At 35.2% G+C, this 22,680-nt stretch overlaps 1 protein-coding gene across 2 annotated transcripts in view; it reads left to right on the forward strand.

Moving 5' to 3' along the window:
- The window catches only part of APOOL (apolipoprotein O like), an 89,439-nt gene that overhangs the window by 33,150 nt on the left and 33,609 nt on the right, over positions 1 to 22,680 (forward strand). For both annotated transcript variants that reach the window (XM_017029272.2, NM_198450.6), the window contains exons 2-5: positions 9,420 to 9,524; positions 14,363 to 14,482; positions 17,318 to 17,372; positions 18,801 to 18,899. In XM_017029272.2, the coding sequence (XP_016884761.1) occupies positions 9,420 to 9,524; positions 14,363 to 14,482; positions 17,318 to 17,372; positions 18,801 to 18,899 (379 nt within the window). The remainder of the gene's footprint in view (positions 1 to 9,419; positions 9,525 to 14,362; positions 14,483 to 17,317; positions 17,373 to 18,800; positions 18,900 to 22,680) is intronic.

The raw sequence follows: 22,680 nt of genomic DNA on the forward strand, positions 1-22,680 counted from the left end.
TGCAGAGGCCATTATTTCATTCTGTTTTATGGCTGAGTAGTATTCTATGGTGTATATATCACACATTTTCTTTATCCACTCCTTGGATGATGGTTATTTTGGTTGGATCCATATTTTTGCAATTGCAAAAGATGCTGCTATAAACGTGTGTGTATGTGTCTTTTTCAAATCTGGAGGCATCACATTACCTGATGATATGGGTTGGCTGTGTTCCCACCCAAATCTCATCTTGAATTGTAGCTCCCATAATTTGCTCATGTTGTGGGAGATAATTGAGTCATCAGGGCGGTTTCCCCCATACTGTTCTCTTTGTAGTGAGTAAGTCTCATGAGATCTGATGGTTTTATAAGGAGAAACCCCTTTTGCTTTGCTGTCATTCTTCTCTTGTCTGCTGCCATATGAGACGTGCCTTTCACCTTCTGCCATGATTTTGAGGCCTCCCTAGCCATGTGGAACTGTGAGTCCATTAAACCTCTTTCTTTGGTAAATTGCCCAGTCTTGGATATGTCTTTATCAGCAGTGTGAAAACAGACTAGTACACCTGACTTCAAACTGTACTATAAGGCTATAGTTACCAAAGCAGCATGGTACTGGTGTAAAACTAGGCACATAGACCAATGGAACAGAATAGAGAACCCAGAAATAAAGCCAAATACAGCCAACTGATCTTCGACAAAGCATACAAAAACATAAAGTAGGGAAAGGATACCCTATTGAACAAGTGGTGCTGGGATAACTGGTAAGCCGCACATAGAAGAATGAAAATGGATCCCTATCTGTCACCATATACAAACGTCAACTCAAGATTGATCAAAGCCTTAAATATAAGGCTTGAAACTATAAAAATTCTAGAAGACAACATTGTAAAAACTCTTGTAGACATCAGTCTAGGCAAAGAATTCATGACTAAGACCCCCAAAACAAATACAACAAAAACAAAAATAAACAAATGGCACCTAATTAAACTAAAAAGCTTCTGCACAGCAAAAGAAATCATCAGCAGACAAAACACAACCTACAGAGTGGGAGAAAATATTCGCAAACTATGCATTTGACAAAGGTTGTTGAATTTTACTGAAATCCTTTTTTGCGTCTATTAAGAGGATCATAGGGTCTTGTTTTTAGTTCTGTTTATGTGATTAATTACATTTCTTAATTTGCATCCATTAAACCACCCTTGCATCCCAGGTTTAAAGCCTTCTTGGTCGTGGTGTTTTCCTAGATTTGGCTTTCTAGTATTTCCTAGATGTTTTCCTAGATTTGGCTTTCTAGTATTTTGTTTAGAATTTTTACATCTATGTTTATCAGAGTATTGGCCAGAAGTTTTCCTCTTTTGTTGTGTTTCTGTGGGGTTTTGGTATTACAATGATGCTAGCCTCATAGAATGAGTTAGGGAGGAGTCCCTCCTCCTCAATTTTTGGAATACTTTTAGTAGGATTGGTACCAGCTCTTCTTTATACATCTGGTAGAACTAAGCTGTGAATCTATCTGGTACAAGTTTTTTTTTTTTTTTTTTTTTTTTTTCTGGTTGGTAGGCTTTTTATTACTGATTAAATTTCTGAACTCATTATTTCTGTGTTCCGAGTTTTAATTTCTTCATGGTTCAATCTTGGGTGGTATATATTTCTAGGAATTTATTTGTTTCTTCCAGGTTTTCTAGCTTGTGTTCATAGAGGATTTCATAATAGTTTCTGGGGGTTGTTTGTATTTCCATGTAGTTGGTGGTAATGTTCCATTTGTCATTTCTGATTGTGTTTATTTGGATCTTCTTTTTTTCACTATTAGTCTAGCTAGTTGTCTCTCAGTCTTATTTATTTCTTCAAAAAACCAACTTTTTTTTATCTTTTGTGTCGTTTTTCACATCTCTATTATATTGAGTTGCTCTATGATTTTGGTTATTATTTTTCTTCTGCTACCTTTTTGGTTGGTTGGTTCTTGTTTTTCAAATTCCTCTAGGTGTGATGTTAGGTGATGTTAATTTGAGATCTGTCAAGCTTTTTGATGTGGATTTTCAGTGCTATAAACTTTCCTCTTAATAGTGCTTTAGCTGTGTCCCAGGGGTTCTGGTATGTTGTATCTTTGTTTTCATTAGTTTCAAATCATTTTTTGGTTTCTGCCCTAATTTCATTGTGTACCCAAAAGTAATTCAGGAGCATATTGTTTAATTTCCATGTAATTGTATGGTTTTGAGAGATTTTGGTATCGACTTTTTTTTTTTTAATTGCACGTGGTCTGAGAATGTGATTGGCATGATTTCAGTTTTTTTTGTGTGTGTATTTTTTGAGAACTGCTTTAGGGCTGATTGTGTGGTCAATTTTAGAGTATGTGCCATGTGCAGATGAGATTAATGTATATTCTGTTTTTGTTGGGTGGAGTGTTATGTAGATGTCTGTTAGATCCATATGGTCATGTGTCAAGTTCAGGTCCTGGTATCTTTGTTAGTTTTCTGTGTTGATATTTCTAGTACTGCCAGTGGGGTGTTGAGGTTTCCCACTGTTATTGTCTATTTATGTAAATCTCCTTGTAGGTATCTAAGAACTAGAACTTACTTTATGAATCTGGGCACTCCAGTATTGGGTGCATATATATTTAGTATTGTTAAGTCTTCTTGAACTCCTTATTATATAATGTCCTTCTTTGTCCTTTTTTGATCATTGGTTTAAAGTCTTTTTTGTGTGAAATTAGATTAGCATCCCCTGCCCTTTTTCATATTGTGTTTCCTTGGTGAATTTTTCTCCATCCATTTAATTTGAGCCTGTGGATGTCACTGCATGTGAGATGGGTCTCTTGAAGGCAGCATACAATTGGTTTTTACTTCTTTATCTAACTTGCCACTGCATGCCTTTCAAATGGGGCATTTAGCCTGTTTACATTCAAGTTTAACATTGATATGTGCAGATTTGGTCCTGTCATCATGTTGTTAGCGGGTTAATATGCAGATTTGATTGTGTGGTTGCTTTGTAGTATCAGTAGTCTATGTACTTAAGGGGATTTTTGTGGTGCCACTGACAGTCTTTCATTTCCATGTTTAGCCCTCCTTTAAGGACCTCTCGTAAGGCAGATCTGGTGGTAACAAATTTCCTTAGCATTTGTTTGTCTGACAAGAATCTTATTTCTCATTAGCTTATGAAGCATATTTTGGCTGGATATGATATTCTTGCTTGGAATTTGTTTTATTTAAGAATGCTGCATATAGGCCCCAAATCTCTTCTGGCTTATAGCATTTCTGCTGGAAGGCCACTCTTAGCCTGATGGAACTCCCTTTACAGATGACCTTCTTCTTCTCTCTAGCTGCCTTTAATATTTTTTCACATTGACCCTGAAGAATATGATGAGTATGTGTCTTGGGGATGGTCATCTTATATACTGTCTCACATGGCTTCTATTCATTTCTTGAATTTGAATGTTGACCTTTCTAGTGAGGTTGGGGACGTTTTCATGGACAATATTCTCAAATATGTTTTCCAAGTTACTGTATCTTTCTCTCTGTGTTTTAGGGATGCCAGTGAGTCATTGGTTTGGTCTCTTTACATAATTCCACATTTCCAGAGGTTTTGTTCCTTTTTTATTCTCTTTGTTTTTGTCTAACTGAGTTGATTGGAAGAACTGATCTTCAAGCTCAGATTCTTCCCTCAGGTTGGTCTTTTCTGCTGTTAGTACTTCTGATTATATTATGAAATTTTTACAGTACATTTTTTCGGTTCTTTCTATTGGTTTTGGTTCTTAAAATAGCAATTTTATCTTTCAACTCTTGTATTGTTTTATTTAATTCTTTAAATACTTTGGATTTGGTTCAACTTTCTTCTGAATCTTGATGTTCTTCATTCCTATCTATATTCTAAACCTTTTGTCTTTCATTTCCACCACTTTAGTCTGGTTGAGTACCATTGCTGTGGAGGTAGTGCTGTTGTTTGGAGGTAAGAAGACACTGGCTTTTCCAGTTGCCCGAGTTCTTGCACTCATTCTTTTTCATGTGTGGGCTGACGTTCCTTTAATGTTTGATGTTGCTGTCCTTTAGATTTGTTGTTGTTTTGTTTTGCTGCAGTAATTGTAAAAGTGGTGTGTCTCTTGATTACTTCTGGGAGCTCCATCTCAGGGAAATGCAGAGCTGCTGCCAGCCCAAGTGCTCAGGTTGGGGTAGGGTGGCTGTACTGGGGACCCTGGTAGGGAAGCTCTGCTCAGTGAGGAGTAGCACTGGCAGAGACCTGCATGGAAAATAATCTGGCCACTTTTCTGTAAGGCTGCTGCAGTGTGCTGGAGGCCAGCAATATTTTGGGCTCTTCTCTCCCTTCTCAGCCTGAGTGTAGTAGAGGTGGGGGCTGAGGCATTGGCAAAAATGTCAGTCCTGTCAGTTACTTCTGGGAGGTTTATCCCAGAAGAATTGCAGAGCTGCTATTGGCCTGAATTCTTAGGTGGGGTTGGTGTGGTTGTGTTAGGATCCCAGGCCAGTGGGCTTTGCCTAGACAGGTATAGCAGAGGCAAAGCCTGCAGTCCGTCCATTCCTCAGCACCATGAATATGGTCCCTATCCTGGGGGCATGTGAGAGAGTCTGGCCTCCCTTGTTGGTGGAGCTATGTAGCTGGTGCAAGAGTGCTCAGGAGTCCAAGGCCCTTGGGCATCCTTATGTGCCTGAGTGGCAACTCTGCCCACCCAGAAAACTCCAGGCAACCTGTGTCAGTCTGGAGGCCTTGGGAATAGAGGGTCTATGGGGATCTCCTGTGTCCAGGACTGCAAAGGTTCATGGCATAAGTGTGAGTGTCTGGGGGCTTTTGCTGACTTACCATTTCCCTGTGGTGAGGAGCCCCCCCTTGTCTTCCTGCCAGTCCTGGGTGGGCAGCTGTCCTGTCTTGCACTTTTCTGCTCTCTGTGGGTCATGGTGCTCCCTTGATGAATTCCAGCATGTCCTCCTGGATGATTCAGTGGAAGAGCTTGTGTTCACTGGCTACTGTGTATCTTCTCCTTGAGAGCAGCATACACTGGCTGCTTCTAATCAGCCATCTTCACACCTCCCAAAACAAAAATTCTTAATAGCAAGAGCTAACCAAATACAAAATCAGTAGAAGAAAAGAAATAATAAAGATCAGAACAGAAATAAATGAAATTGAAATGAAGAAAATAATACAAAAGATCAATGAAACAAAACGTTGGTTGTTTTAAAAGATGAAATTTACAAACCTTTAGCTAGACTAACAAAACAAAAGAGAGAGAACACCCAAATAAATAAAATCAGAGATGAAAAAGGAGACATTCAACCAATACTGCAGACATTCAAAGGATCATTAGTGGCTGCTGTGATCAACTATATGCCAATAAGTTGGAAAATCTAGAAGAAATGGATAAATTCCCAGACACACACAACCTACCAACATTGAACCATGAAGAAATCCAAAATCTGAACAGACAGATAACAATGAGATGGAAGATGTAGTAAAAATCTCCCCAGAAGGAAAAGCCTGGGACTTGATGGCTTCACTGCTGGATTTTACCAAATATTTAAAGAAGAAATACCAGTTCTACTGAAACTATTCTGAAAAACAGAGAAGAGGGGAATACTTCCAAACTCATTCTACAAGGCTAATATTACCCTGATATTACAGCACATCAATAAAGAAAACTATAGACCAATATCCCTGATGAATATTGATGCAAAAATCCTCAACAAAATACCAGCAAATCAAATTCCAAAACACATTCAAAAGATCATTCATCATGACCAAGTAGGATTTATCCTAGCGATGCAAGGATGGTTCAGCATATGCAGATCAGTTAGTGTGGTACATCATATCAACAGAATGAAGGATTAAAATCATAATAATCATTTCAACTGATGGTGAAAAAGCATTTGATAAAATTCAACATCAGTTCATGATAAAAAACCTTCAAAAAACTTGCTATCACAGGAAGCTCGCCCTGTATTTTTCCCTGGAGAAATGGTACAGTATTCTGTAAATCAGTATTCACAGCTACTTTATAGAATATAACTGCTGGAAATAACAAGAATCAGCTATATTTTTATTGCAGGCACAGTTGGAGGGGGTGAGTCTTACGGGTAAGTTACCTCATGCTCATATTTTAGCCCTGCTGTTTGTAAATTTCCATGTGAGAGATATCTGTTTTAGGACCTGTTATATTTTGTAGAGAGCCAGTATTTAATCTCTCATTGATTTTAAATAAGTCGTAATTTTGACTTGACGAGTTATTATTTCGAGTTACAAATAGTTTTAAGTTAAGGTCTTTCCTCTCGTGAAAACTCGATTATCTCTGCTCACTTTTAATGCTGTTTGATTAATGACAGCCTCATGAGGCTGTAAGTTTTTTATAACACCCCAAACTCTAATAACTTTTTGAATATCTTATTTGGTTTTCTAAATTGGAGGCTGGCAATTTTTTTTTTTTTTGTAAATGGCCACATGGTAAATGTTTTAGGCTTTGCAGCATGCATAAGATTTCTTGTCATATATTCTTCTTTGTTTTTACAAATCTTTAAATATGTTTTTTAAAAACATTTTAAACTTAGAGTCCAGGCCAGATTTAGCCCAGAGTTGTAGCTTGCCAGTCTTTTTTCAGAAATTTTCAATGTGCTGTACCATTAGCTTTCCCTCTTTAAGATAGTGACATGTACTTCACCAGTATAACTTAGACTTGTAGATACCCTAGTGTGCCAGTCTTCCTGATTTCTTTTGACAAAAATTGCAACCTTTTTTTGTTTGGAGGTAATAAATATGTTGGATAGATTTTATTGTTATCACTGTTCTCACTAGAGCCTGATTAGCATGAAATACATGTGCAAAGAAAAATGAGGAATAAGCAGAGCCACTTAATTTTTTTATTCAGCAAACAGAAGGAATGGGAAACTAAACTTAATTGCCTATGTACCAAGTGTAAGCCATTTTAATATAACTCCTTATTTAATCCTTGTGATAATCAACAGGATGGCATACACATTTTTTCAGATATTTAACCTAATAATAGTTAACCTAATTAAGACATTTTCTAGAATTTTCTGCAATGATGGGCTTGTTTTATATCTGTGCTCTACATTATGGCTGTTGAGCACTTGAAATGGAACTAATGTGACTGAAGTTTTTATTTATTAATAATTTTAATTTCAATTTAAATAACCACATGTGGCTAGTAGTAACCATACTGGGCAGCACAACTTGAAGAGCTTCAATAATTGATTCAAGTTTAGACAGTAAGTTCCGTGTAACTCCTAAGCTCATATTTATGTGTGTGTGTGTGTGTATATATATATATATGTATTTTTTTGTTGAGACAGAGTTTTGCTCTTGTTGCCCAGGCTGGAGTGCAGTGGTGCTATTTCGGCTCGCTGCAACCTCCACCTCCTGGGTTCAAGTGATTCTCCTGCCTCAGCCTCTCAAGTAGCTGGGATTACAGGCATGCACCACCACACTCAGCTAATTTTGTATTTTCAGTAGAGACAGGGTTTCACCATGTTGGTCAGGCTGGTCTTGAACTCCTGACCTCAGGTGATCCACCCGCCTCGGCCTTCCAAAGTGCTGGGATTACAGGCATGAGCCACCACTCCCGGCCCTAAGCTCATATTTTTTTTCCATTGTGCCATACTGCCTCCTCAATAAAAGTCAAGGAATCTATGAAGACAGTAGGAAAGAATGGGTGGACCTTTATTACCTTACAGAGTAAAAAATGTGGAGAAAGTACTTAGGCAATTTTCAAGGTATATTAACTTTTAGGCCATGAGCTCAATTAGTAAATCCATAATCTGGAATATTAGATCATAATTATCAGCAATATCTATGAAATTCTTTTATAGTCTACATATTATTATTACATTATATGAAGTAACATGAGTATACTCTGTGATCATTAGTGTGTTGAAAAAATTCAGCATACTTTGAAAGTATTTGTCTTATATCCAGGGAGTAGTCTCTTAAGAAGAAGTAAAGTCTAGTCAGGTATTTCAAAAAAAGCTTTTCAATGTTATAAAATTTTACATCCTTCCTATAATATAGAGATTTTATTAACAAAATTTCCCTGGTTCATGGGGACCATACTTGCTGGCATCAGTTTTAATATACATTTAAATTATACCTAACATAGGTATGGTGTGGAAATCTTGTTATTTCATTAATGAATACCAACTGGGTATAAGAAATAAAAAAATTGATGTCTTTAAGGGATGCATGTGCAGATAAATCATTCTGTGATGCTGTTTCCTGTACTAGAAGGAGGCATGGGGGAGGAGAATAAAAAAAAATTTATCTTCTTAGTGTTGACTCTTAATTTTACCCTGTATTTTTACAGCCCCAATCTAAATCAGAGTCCTGCCCAGTTTAAACAGGAAATTACTTAACTGATTGATGCCTGAGTAGCTTCCCTTGCTCTTCTCAGAAAATATTAAAAACAGTGTCAGAAATGAAGTATAGGTACTATCACTGTCATTGGAGAACATTTAGAATCCTTTAGCCAGTGATTCTTCCAGGTGTTGCACAATTTTATTTGTGTGTAAAACAAGGAGACTGCTTCCCTCATAATGTCCTTTGTCAAATTCAGGAAGCTTCTTTCCCATCTAAAGAATCAGAGTGTTAAAATATTTGTACCTTGGAAAGCTTTACAGTTGGCCTTGTTGAATGGATAATCTTTGGGAATTATTTTGGTACCTGAATAACACTAGAAGACTTTATTCTTAGAGCCAGTACTTTTCCTCATTCTTAATTCAAATCAAGTTATAGCTAAAACAAAGATCACTTTTTGCTTTAGATTTAGCAAGAAACAGGTAAAAGGGAATGCATTGGGAAAATCAGGGGCAAAGGATTTATAATAGAAAGAATTCATTTTTTATGGATAATGTTAATATAAATTGTATTTCAAGATGCAGCCTGCATCACTCAGTACTCCAGACCACTCTTATCCTTTACTTTCTCCAGAGCATTTATCAACTTATAATATAACATATAGTTTATTGTGTTTATTGCCTGCCTCCTCTCTACTGGAATGTCATTTGTATGAGAACAGGAATCTTTGTTTTGTTCACTGATATATTCTAAGCACTAAGACCAGAGTCTGGCACATAGTAGGTGTTCAATTGATGTTTGTGGACTGAATGAATATCAAGACCAATCCCACTCCATTCCTCAGATTTTAGTAATTATTACATTGCTATATTATTACATAATAATATTCCAGATAAATATTATATTGCTATATTTCTTATGAAGTAGTTAACAAACAGGTAAAAATAGTGCTCTGCCATCCAGTATGAGAAGATAATTTTATGAACTATGTCTTAAAAATGTCTGAGGTAATTTGGAGTGTTTGAGTATTTAATATATTAAAGTGAAACCAATAGATTTCCTGAGATTCCTCCAGTATTTATTAGGAAATGGAAGATGGAAAGCTTTTCAACTAAAAAGATGTTTTTGATATATCTTTCTTAGATGGGAAAACTGACAACCATGCCTGCAGGTCTGATATATGCATCTGTAAGTGTACATGCAGCCAAACAAGAGGAATCCAAAAAGCAGCTAGTGAAACCAGAGCAGGTAATTTGCCTACAAAGGTTTATGAACTTTGTATAATATCAAGATGACACAAAAGCTATATTTTTTAAAATTATCTTTGCCCATCAAAAATGTCTTAGAAGTCTTTGTTAGGTAGATATTAAAAGTTGAGAGAAATAGTTATGAAGTATCTCAAAAGACAATATGTAACTCAAACATCTAAAATTCTAACTCCAGTGAAAAACAACTAGTGATTTTTCTTAATGAATAATCAATAAGTAGTGGAGGGTGTTAGACGTTCTAGGCAGTCTGATTTTTCTTTCTTGAAAAACTTACACAGGTACATTCAGTATTAGGAAACTTCAGTTTAACAAATTCATTAAGATCTCAGTTTTGGAAGTGACCTTAGATGTTTTCTAGATCAACCTTCTGTATGGTACTGTAATTCCCTCTATAGTAGGCACATTTAGTGGCCATATATCTTCTACATGAATAAAACTCTAGGTAAAGGAGCCTAAGGAGCCCATTCCGTTTTCTAAATCCTCTCATTTAACTTAAGGTCCTTTCTTATATCAGACAGAAATTTGTCTCATAATAACTTCTACCTGTTGGTACTGTATCTCTTGCATTGGTGCCATACAGAAAACTCTCTTTCAAAAAACAAGCCTTTAAATATCAGTTATACTTTAAGTAATTTTGCTTCCAGGATAAACATTTTAAAGCGTTTAGTAGCTTCAACTATTTCTCATACATCACAGCTTTGAGTTCCTCACTATCATGATCAGCCTCTGCCAAGCATGTTCAGGATAGTGTTTTCTTCAGGTGTAAGTAGTTTGTTTTTCTTTTTAAAAAACATTTTGGTTTTTGGTGCCATGACTTGGATGTATGAACCACGGTGTTTTGACTGCTACAGGATAGAGTCAGTCTCTGACTTTTCCTCTTCTAGATGTTATATTTCTATTAATGCTGCCTAAGATCACATTAGTTTTTATATTTGAGTGCTCAAAATCAACCATGCTCATAAGCAGCCTTTGACCATGACATAGTAAGCATGTGGTTCTCTAAAATTCATTAAGCCTTTTTACATGGACTACTGGTAAGGTATGCCTCATCCCAGTCTGTACTTAGGCATTTGAACTTTTTGGACTCTGTTGAAGGTATGTTTATACCTGTTTAAATTTTACCTTGTTGATCTGGCTTATCATGCCAGCCTGTTGAGCTGTAATTGTGGTTACTAATTCTATTCATCATTGTGCTTTTTATCTCTTCCCGCTTTAAGTCAACCTTAAGATTTATCCACACACTTAATAATATGTTTTTGAATCAGGCCTGAATTTGAATCCTGATTCCACGACTGACTAGTTAGATGACATTGGCCAGAATTCTTAATGGTGTCATAAGTATTCTGCTGTATGAATGTACTACCATCAAATAAATGTAAAATTTTCATAAATTTTTGGAAATGTAGACTATTTCCAGCTATTGCTATTGTAATCAGTACTTGTTGAACCACTTTGTATTGAATCTATATATACATCTATAACCATTTCCTTAGAATGAATTTCTATAAGCCGAAGTGTAGGTCAAAAGGCATAAAACATTGATAATATTGCCAAACTAACATGCATAAAGGTAATATTCATAAATTCAACCAAAAATATTTTCTAAGCTCCTCTTATATATTTGTGAGGCACTGTTCTAATTACTAGATAAAGTTTATTTTCATTAATGGTCTGGGGTAGACTCATTTCCCTACCCGCTAACTGATTCTAAGTATTTTTTTATTTTTTCTGTTTATTAATCTTAGGAGGATGTTGATTTTAAGGCTTCCTTGACACTCCCATATCTGGACAGCTCAAATCTAGGTAGGAAGATAAATCCCTAATGGCTGAATTTAATTTTTGAAATTTTAAAATAAAGTAGTGCTGCTTATTATGGAATATGCAGTATTCCTTGGTATTTATTGTATTCCCCAAGTACATTTTAAATATCATTTAATTGAATTACTTATCAAACAAAGTTTGTTGCCAGCTATGTGCTAGGAACTATACACAAAGTCAGGATCTAGTCCTTGAGGAATGTAGAATTTCTGAAGGGATTAAAATGTGATTTATGCGCAACATTTCTAGCTACTTTTATTGTGTAAAGTGAGCTATACTTCTGTTTAAATCTGTAATAACACTTCTACTAAACCAGAATACTTTATGAATGAAGTGTTCTGGTTATTTGGTTGTTTGAATCTTTTGGTAAACTTGCAGCTAAACAGAAAATCTGTTTTAGTTCAACTCTTCTCACTAAACATCTTTTTAAATATTCTCAATATATTCCTGCCTTATATGCCATCTAGTGAACATAATTAAATCTCCCTTTAATAGAAAACTCTGTAGCACCATGAGACAATCATTTTTTTTAACCATGAAATCTGTAGTATTCAGATCAGTAAAATGACTGGCAATTGGAATGCATGTATACAGCCAGCCCTAGACATCCCTGGACATTTCTTTTTAAAATCCCTCTATGAGATGAATTATACTTATTTTCTTGCCATTTGCTTGTTGTCACTGAGAAATAACAGAAAAATACTGATTTGAGAGTTTTAGTTACTTTGGTTCAATTTAATTTTAAATGTGGTTTTATAGCTTACTCAATGTAATCATAATTTCTAAATGAGAACATACAAGTTCTATCTATACAATAAGTGGCATTTAAGCCCCAAGGTCTCTAAAATTTGTAGTGAGAATGCTTTTCTCAATGGAGGCTATAGTAACATGCTACTGGCTAGCTCTTAAAATTCTTAAAGTAGAGCTGAAATCCTATCATCATAAACGTTTCAACTATGCCTATGCCTTAGAAGGAAAATACTTTAAAACACTGGTTCTTAACCATTCTGACCCCTTTGAGAGTCTGATAAAAACTTTGAATGCTCTTCCTAGAAAACTACATATACAAAATTTTGTTTATAATAGGCAACAAACAGATAAAGAACCTGAACCCGTGAGGCGCAGTGCCTCATGCTTGTAATCCCAGCACTTTAGGATGCCAAGGCGGGCGGATTGCTTGAGCTCAAGAATTGGAGACCAGTCTGGGCAACAGGGTGAAACCCCATCTCTACAAAAAAAATACAAAAATTAGCCGGGTTTGTTGGGGGTGTGCCTGTAGTCCCAGCTACTCGGGATGCTGAGGTGAGAGGATTGCTTGAGCCCGGGAGGTTGAGGCTACAGTGAGCTGTGTTCATGCCACTGTACTCTAGACTGGATGACAAAACAAGACCGTCTCAAAAAACAAACAAACAAACAAAAAACAACTTAATCAGCAGGTTTTGATGGGGACAGAGGAGAGAGAATAAGAACAATGAGTGTAATAAAGTTTGGAATTGGGATGTGTAAATAATAAAGAGGATAGAAACATGATGGACAAACATGTAAGTAAATAACGTTGCCCACTCTGACACCAGTACATCCACATATACCTCTCCTTTCTAGGGGAGAGAGGAAACTTGCCTATTTGCAGTGCACCTGCTTTTTATATATAAAACGCATCTTTAATAAGATATGCATCTCTCACCTTCCTAATTATACATAGTTGCCAATGTGGTGAATTTAAGCATTAGTCCAGAAAGATAAAACACTAACTCTTTAATCCTGGTATGGGTAGTAAAGAGTCATTTAATGGTAAAACAAGACTTTTCTGACTTACTACTGGAAAAGCTTTACCAAACTCACACTGTCTTATGTTTTATTTATTTTTTAACTTTAGATAAAAAAACTGACATAAAATTGTATGCATTTACCTTGTACAGCATGATGCTTTGAAGTATATATACATTGTGGAATGACTAAATCTGTCTAATTTACATATGTATTACCTTGAATAGTTATCATTTTTGTGTTGAGGACATTTTATACCCACTCTTAGCATTTTTCAAGAAAACAATATAGTGTTAACTATAGTTTCATGTTTGTTGTTGGTAGAGGAGCAAATCCAAAGTCATTAATCATCTAGTTCCCTTGATGTTGATTTGTAAACTTGATTCTTCCCAGTTCTATCTTCCTCAAACACCAGGCTTCATAGGAGGATTTATACCCTAAATATAAAAGCAAAAAAAAAAAAAAAATTTTTTTTTAAAGGAAGTAAGTCCCTACCTGGTTAAGTTTTTCATTGTTCTTTTGTGTATGTTTGTTTTTATTAAATACTAATTAGAATCAAAAGGCTGTTCAAAATATGAAAGGTATGAATAATAATATGATGATGATAATGATGTACAACCGTATACCTAGCACCCAATTTAAAGGAAAACAAAATCCTCTGTGTTTCCATTTCATTCCATTCAGAGGTTACCATTACCCTGAATTTTTACTATTATTCCCCTCCTTTACTTTTTAATTTTACCTTATATGTCTGTATTGCTAAGCAATGTTTTTTTTAAGTAACCTTATATTCCTGAAATTCATCCAAATTTTTCCATGTTGCTGTAATTTTTATATTTACCCCCTAATTTCTAATATTTCTTTGTACGAATATACCCCAAAGGATCCATTTTACTGTGGATGGACATTGGGTTGGTTGTAATTAAAATGTTGCTGTGAACGTTATTATACTAACTCTGGGTGTGCAAAGACAGTAGTTTCTCTAAATATACATAGGAGTAGAACCATTGGATTATATTATATTTGGCATCTTTTAATTTCTGGGTTTTAAACGGTCTTTATAAACAGTTTACCACATCATTCCTGTATTTAAGATGGTTTTTTAAAAGTATTTTATCAGCATTTTTAGTTGTTTTTAGAAAGAAGGCTGATGAGGATTCCTGTTCTGCCATACCGCTGTTATGGACAGTCCAGCTATTTTATGTTTTTGACATGAACATTTTTTGCCTGTAGCTCCCCATATATACTGCACCACCGCTCCAGTCTAAATATGTTGAAGAGCAGCCTGGTCATTTACAAATGGGCTTTGCTTCCATCCGCACTGCAACTGGTTGTTACATTGGCTGGTGCAAGGTAAGTCAATTCTGATAGTGGTTTAATATCAGAGATTTCTGATTAATTGTTCCAGTTACCTACTGATGTGTAGAAAACTAATCCAAAACTTAATGGCTTAAAACCACAACCATTATATTACATCTTATGATTTTGTAAGTCATGAATTTGATCTGAGTTCAGACAGGTGATTTGTCTGTTGCATGTGGCATTGACAGAGGTGGCCCAGTGGGGTTCATCTGGCAAATGAGCTGATCTAGACAGTCCAAGACAGCTTTATTTGCATCTCTGGCACCTTGTTAAGGATGGCTGGATGACTGGGTTCAGCTGGGATTATTGACTAGAACACCTACACGTGGCCTCTCAAGCATGGTGATCTCAAATAGGTCAGATATAACTTACTTGGGTAATTCAGGGCTCCTAAAGACAATGTTACAAGTGGCCCTAGGCAGAATTTGCCAGGCTTTTTGCCTATCATCAGATATCCAAGAAAGTCACTTCTACAGCATTCTATTGTTAAGTCACTAAGGCCAGCTCAGTTTTAAAGGGAAGGGAATTAGATGCCAACTCTCAGTAGAAGTAGCAGCAAATAATTTGTGGCTATATTGAACCTACTCTACCACTACTGCATAGATTAAAGTAGTTCAGCAAGGATTTATGTCACCTAGCATGTACACAGTGTCACTCACTTTTTATGTGAAGTTCTGAGATTACTTCTGAATATTTTCTTCTTTGGCTAAGTAAAGTGTTATTTACTTGTTGGCGTTAGCTCATAAGACCATTCTAACTACAGTAAGCTATTGGGCAAAGTAGAATACACGTGACTTTAATGCTTAGCCTTCAATCAGCAATATCCATCAGCAGAGTGGTGGAGTAAGCTGATGCAACACTAATGTTTCATTATCATCACATAAACATCATTGTGTTAGCATCTCCAGTGTCAGTATCTTAATGTTGGTACCAGTGTTTTCATCATTCTAACCTAGTAACCATGCGACTTTTCCCCAAATATAGCCTGATGGTGAATCATTGTTCTTTTTAGTTTCTATCCATTATCTTTAAAAAGAAATCTAATGAACTTATGAAAAATAATTTGTGCTTAGGTGAAATACCAAATCAATGAACTCTGGTAATTCCAGATAATATTTCAAATATCTGATAAGTACATGATGTTATTTTTGAAAACTTGTGTTTGTCATACAATTCTTATGGTACTAGTTGTACTACACACTATTAATAGTTTGATCTAAGAGGGAAATACCTTAACCAATTATGGTCTGAATCATGCCCCTATGACTATGTGCCAATAGCTAGATGATTCAGACTTAAGCCTCCTGAGATGTAATTTTCCATAATGTTCTGAAATTTTTCTTCAGTGAGATAAAATGTTCCTGAGAGGTCTTTAAATTGCTATTGTAACTGTCATCCAATTTAAGATTCAAAAGAATGTTTTATTCCATTAATATGCTCAAACAAATAGGTTGAAGAAAGGCAATTTCCAGTGCATTTTGTCCTAAATGTAAACAATTTTTTTTCCTAATTTTCCCCTAAAAATGTAATCCATTCTTTAAAAATTATGTCTGACTCAAATTCGTTCCACATTAAAGCTTGAATCATGTAGAGCAAATTCAATTTCTACTCCTGCTAGCTTAGTGTTTTGAAATTTAGGTAGCACTGACCCCATGTGGTAAAAATGAATTCCTTAGCAGAGCTAAGAAAAATTTTTTTTGAAAGATGACTAATTTTCTTCCTTAATGGTTAAATGATTCCCAATCGACTGGTCAATAGGTATTTTAACTTTGAAGGTGAAATATTCTCAAGACAGTCCCTACAGAAAAGTAGTTCAATAGCAGTTAGCGTTTATGCTGATTTGTACAATTTTAAACCAAGATGAACCTCTGCATCTCTCTGATAACCATTAAAATATGTAAGACAAAATTACAAAACCAAGCTATCTCTATAACAAAAACTTATTTCTTCCCTGTCCAATATAATAATATCTGTTTTCTCTGCTTTGAAAGTCTCTTTTGTTCTTGTTTTTATCCCATGGTTTCATAGCAGCTAGTTCAGAGAAGGATTGTGTTTTCTGGTTCCATCAACAGAGTACAATATGACCACGAGTAAATCATTTTGTGACTTCCTTTTTTTTCTTATCTAAGTGAGGTAATACCTAGCACTCAATAAATATATTTAACACTCTTTTGCACTAAAATAAATCAGTTAGAAACAGGTAAAGTTAAAGATTTGCTTTAAAACTTTAATTCCTCTGATGTATTAACATAGTTTTGATTTCTAGAGAATTTATGTTCCGATTTAAAAACAGGATAAACACTGGTCTATGTAGGATGATTTCTGTCCTGAGGTAATTTAGATTTTTTTCTCATTCTAATGCACACTAAGAAAAGGGAGGAAGATGAAGCCCTTTGCTTTAGGCTTTTTGCTCTTTTTTTCCCTCCACAAATCATTATGTTGTTGCTATTGCAACTTTATTAATCAGATGTTGCTTCTAAACTGAAATATACCTCCCTTCTTCTTTATTTAAATTCCATTTATTTTTCTAGGTCATTATAAAATAAGATGATAAATATTTTTTTCAGTATCATTTCTGCTCTGATTATTTCATAGGCACATTATCCATTTATATGAGAAAAATGATATAAATGTTATCCATGTTAAATAGAATGAAAAGCAGGAAATGAAAACAAGCTGGTAGTGAATACATAGGAAAGCTGGATTTAGATTTGGGCATAATGTTAAGTCAACCTTTTAATATAATCTCAGAGATGCAGGCAATTTTATCTCATTATCAACAGCTTCAAAAATGCAGATGTCTTCCCCCCCTTTTTTTTTGCTTAGGGTGTTTATGTCTTTGTGAAAAATGGGATAATGGATACAGTACAATTTGGAAAAGGTAGGTGAGTAGATAATTAGAAATGTTTTATTGTGTTTTTAAATTGCATTGTTTAAATGTGAGAAAAATAAACTTGGTATGTTACCCATTATCATGCATTTACCAACTCAGAAGGTACTCTCTATAGCAATTTATTGATTAATTTATTGATTATTTGTTGATTATTGATTAATAGCAAAGCAGTAATATTCATTATTCAGCAGTTATTATTGGCTAAGGTGTTGTACTTAGCATTTTACATAATTTTTGTCACAATTATGTTAGTATTGGTATTATAATTATTCCCATTTTACAGATGAGGGCAACTGAGGTTTAGGAAGGTTAAGTAGGTTATCGAGCTTACGTAACTGTAAGTGGTAGTGCCAGGATACAAACTGAGGTCTGTTTTAACTACAAAGTCTATATTATATATCATAAAGCATAAATTAAAAACATGTCTCCATTGTTGCTAATTAGTTTAAGTGCTACTTGCTGTTAAAATACATTGTATTTTGCTGTCAATTGCTAGGAAATGTTATAGCAATCACTAACCCTGGAATATTTAAGCTAATGGTTAAAAAGCAATTATACTTGACTCTTTAGCTTGTTAATGGTGTTTGGCAACAGATATAGCTTTGTAATATTCTTGGCTTATGCCAGTTGTCATAATAAATATGTATAGGAGATAGAAAGATGAGCTAAAATGTTGAATGTTTCCATGAAGTTGATGACCTGTATTTGAATTGTCATTATTTAATGTATTAGGAATAAATTCAAAATTATATTCCTCATCAATCATGAGGAATAGGATTAAATATGTGATTGCCATTAAATAATTAACTATGATAGAAAAGTGTACTTTTGGAACCAGAAACAAATTCAACATATAGAAAGCCAAGAACTACTCTTCATCTACTTTTTGTCTAGGCTCACTGATGATTGACTTTAACCAACAGCAGTGGCTGTCCTGAGGTTATTAGGGAGTAGTGGCAAGCAAGGTCTAGTAGCTGTGTATATCCTTAAACTATTATTCAAAACTCCTTAATAAAGTATCTATTTCATTTCTTATTGGAGGCTACCAGTGTTTGAACAGATAAGGGCAGAAGTTCATCATAGAGATATAATACATACGCAGTCAGAAATTTACCTTATAGTAACCCATATTAAGATGTGCCCTCTAGCATTACATTTCTTTATAGTAATAACCGTCAGTATCATTAGGAAAAGAAATATTAAATCAGCTACGGAAGGAAAATTTTATTTTGTAACAAGTAAATATATCTAGTTTTTTAGCTTGCTACTCATATTGTCATTATATGTAGCTCTTTTGAAGAATATTTAAACCTCATTATTATCTTAGCAAATCTCTTTAACCTTCCTGCATTATAACTGTATAGAATATCCAGTAGAATTCAGTTATTCATGTTAATTTTTAACTGATTTCTTGAGATGCTTATGTCTATCTGAAGAATCCTCCTCGAGATTTTCTTCCGAAAATGGGAGTTATTACAGTTTCAGGATTGGCGGGCTTGGTTTCAGCGAGAAAAGGTAGGGTTTTAAAAAATATATTCTCTCTTAATGCCATGATATTAGTTTCTGAATTTTGTGGTCATGAGAAAACCTCATATGCTTTATTGAATATTATCTGGATAGGCTACTGTAAAGATTTTTAGATTCTGTATTACAGCATGCTTACTTTTATAAGGACTTTGTGTTTTCAAAACTATAGCTATTCCAAAGGCTGTTCAACGTCATTAGTCATTAGGGAAATGCAGATGAAAACTAGAATGAGATACCATGTCAGTCCCAACAACATTCTTTAGGATGAGACCAAGAGAAAATCAAATTTTGTCTCATATATCAGTATCTCTGTCTCAAATCTTTAAAGTAGCTGCCAGAATATGGGGGTCATGACTGAGAAAAGTAGTTTGAGTGATTAGTATATATTTTTACATTAAGATAAAACTCTCAAGAAATTTTTTCAGTAGTTAGTGACTCTTAAGATCTTAAAAAAAAGTTACCTAGAAAACAAAATGACAAATTATAATTTTAATAGAAATAGCTATATGTTTAAAAAAATTTTTGGCCGGGCACAGTGGCTCACGCCTATAATCCCAGCACTTTGGGAGGCTGAGGTGGGTGGATCACCTGAGGTCGGGAGTTTGAGACCAGCCTGACCAACATGGAGAAACCCTGTCTCTACTAAAAATACAAAATTAGCCGGGCTTGGTGGCACATGCCTGTAATCCCAGCTACTCGGGAGGCTGAGGCAGGAGAATCACTTGAACCCGGGAGGCAGAGGTTGTGATGAGCCAAGATCATGCCATTACACTTCAGCCTGGGCAACAAGAGCGAAACTCCATCTCAAAAAAAAAATATTTTAAAATTATCACACAGTAAATTCATACAATTCTATCAGTTTTAATATATACATAGAGTCATGTAACCATCACCACAACCAGGATACAGAACAGTTATATCATTCCCAAAAAGTACCTCATGCTGTCTGTCTGCAGTCAGACCTTCTTCCCACTTCTAACTCCCAGAAACACTGATCTGTTCTCTGTCACTATAGCTCTGTCTTTTTGAGAATGCCATCTAAATGGAATCATACATAGACTGGCTTCTTTCACTTAGATTATCAAGATTGTTGCATGTGTCAATAGCTTGTTCCTTTTTGTTACTAAGTAGTATTCCTTCATATGGATGTGCCACGGTTTACTTTATCACTTAACCTGTTGGACATTTGGGTTGTTTCCAGCTTTTGGTGATTAGGAATAGAGCTACTATGAAAATTTATATACAGATTTTTCATTTCTCCAAGCCCTTACTAAGCTGGTGTAGTTCTGTAGTCACTAGCCATTTTGGTCACCTTTCATCCATCCTTTGTCCACATTCCAGTTGCCAGACATTGTCCCCAAACTAAATTACTTATATTGGAAGGCACAGCTCTGAGCCGGTCTGGAATCTGATGTCAGGTACTTTGTAGTTTGTTTTTCCAGCTATAGTCCTAAAAGCCTCAAATCAAGGCATAATTAGGTACAAAACTGCTGTGCAATTATAAGAACATTCTAGTATCCTAACTCATATATATATATAAAACATATATATAATATAGATATATAACATATATATAATATATATATATGAGAGGATGCTAGAATGTTCTTATTGTGTATATATATATATCTCATCTGAATGGATGATATATATATATGTCATCTGAATGGATGATATACATATATCTCATCTGAATGGATGATATATATCTCATCTGAATGGATGATATATATATCTCATCTGAATGGATGATATATATATATATCTCCCTATAGCTAATATTAATGCTTCCCTATATCCTATTTCTTATTATAGTAGGTAAGCAACTTCTAATTGAATAAGTATTATAAATTATTCAGTAAGAAATAATTACAAACCAAGATCACCATATAAAACAATAAGACTCAAAGAATTAAATTTTGAAGGAAATTGTCCAAAACATATTACTCAATTTCTCAGTAAAAAACTTATACCATTCTTGTAAGAGAAAATGTTCCTTAGGTCATTCACCGTGTTTTCAAATGTCAGAGCTAGAATAATCTAAGCCAGTGTTTTTCAAATTGGAGATCTTAACCTATTAGTAGGTAGTGACATAAATATAATGAATCTCAGGAGACATTTTACCTTTTTTTAAAAAATTATATTTTAAGTTCCAGGGTACATGTACAGCATGTTTAGATTTGTTACATAGGTAAATGTGTGCCATGATGGTTTTGTGCACCTATCAACTCATCACCTAGGTATAAGCCCAACATGCATCAGCTATTTTTCCTGATGTTCTTCCGCCCCCACCCTCCCACAACAGGCCCCAGTGTGTGTTGTTCCCCTCCCTGTGTCCATGTCTTCTCATTGTTGAGCTCCCACTTATAAGTGAGAATGTGCAGTGTTTGGTTTTCTGTTCCTGTGTTGGTTTGCTGAGGATAATGGCTTTCCAGCTTCATCCATGTCCCTGCAAAGGACATGATCTCATTCCTTTTTATGGCTACATAGTATTCCATGGTGTATATGTACCACATTTTCTTTATCCAGTCTATCATTGATGGACATTTGGGTTGATTTCAAGTCTTTGCTATTGTGAATAGTGCTGCAATGAACATATGCACGCATGTATCTTTATAATAGAATGATTTATGTTCCTTTGGGTATATACCTAGTAATGGGATTGCTGGGTCAAATGGTATTTCCGGTTCTAAATCTTTGAGGAATCGCCACATTATCTTCCACAATGGTTGAACTAATTTACATCCCCACCAACAGTGTAAAAGTGTTCGTTTCTCTCCACAACTTCACCAACATCTGTTATTTTATGACTTTAGTAATAGCCGTTCTGACTGGTGTGAGAGATTATCTCATTGTGGTTTTGATTTGCATTTCTCTGATGATCAGTGATGTTGAGCTTTTTTTCATGTTTATTGGCCACATGTATGTCTTCTTTTTTTTAATTTTATTATTATTATACTTTAAGTTTTAGGATACATGTGCACAACGTGCAGGTTTGTTACATATGTATACATGTGCCATGTTGGTGTGCTGCACCCATTAACTCGTCATTTAGCATTAGCTATATCTCCTAATGCTATCCCTCCCCCCGCCCCCCACCCCACAACAGTCCCCAGAGTTTGATGTTCCCCTTCCTGTGTCCATGTGTTCTCATTGTTCAATTCCCACCTATGAGTGAGAACATGCGGTGTTTGGTTTTTTGTCCTTGTGATAGTTTGCTGAGAATGACGGTTTCCAGTTTCATCCATGTCCCTACAAAGGACATGAACTCATCATTTTTTATGGCTGCATATTATTCCATGGTATGTATGTGCCACATTTTCTTAATCCAGTCTATCGTTGTTGGACATTTAGGTTGGTTCCAAGTCTTTGCTATTGTGAATAGTGCCGCAATAAACATACGTGTGCATGTGTCTTTATAGCAGCATGATTTATAATCCTTTGGGTATATACCCAGTAATGGGATGGCTGGGTCAAATGGTATTTCTAGTTCTGTATCCCTGAGGAATCGCCACACTGACTTCCACAATCGTTGAACTAGTTTACAGTCCCACCAACAGTGTAAAAGTGTTCCTATTTCTCCACATCCTCTCCAGCACCTGTTGTTTCCTGACTTTTTAATGATTGCCATTCTAACTGGTGTGAGATGGTATCTCATCGTGGTTTTGATTTGCATTTCTCTGATGGCCAGTGATGATGAGCATTTTTTCATGTGTTTTTTGGCTGCATAAATGTCTTCTTTTGAGAAGTGTCTGTTCATATCCTTTGC

The sequence above is a fragment of the Homo sapiens genome, chromosome X, assembly GCF_000001405.40.
Source record: "Homo sapiens chromosome X, GRCh38.p14 Primary Assembly".
Taxonomy (NCBI): Eukaryota; Metazoa; Chordata; class Mammalia; order Primates; family Hominidae; genus Homo; species Homo sapiens.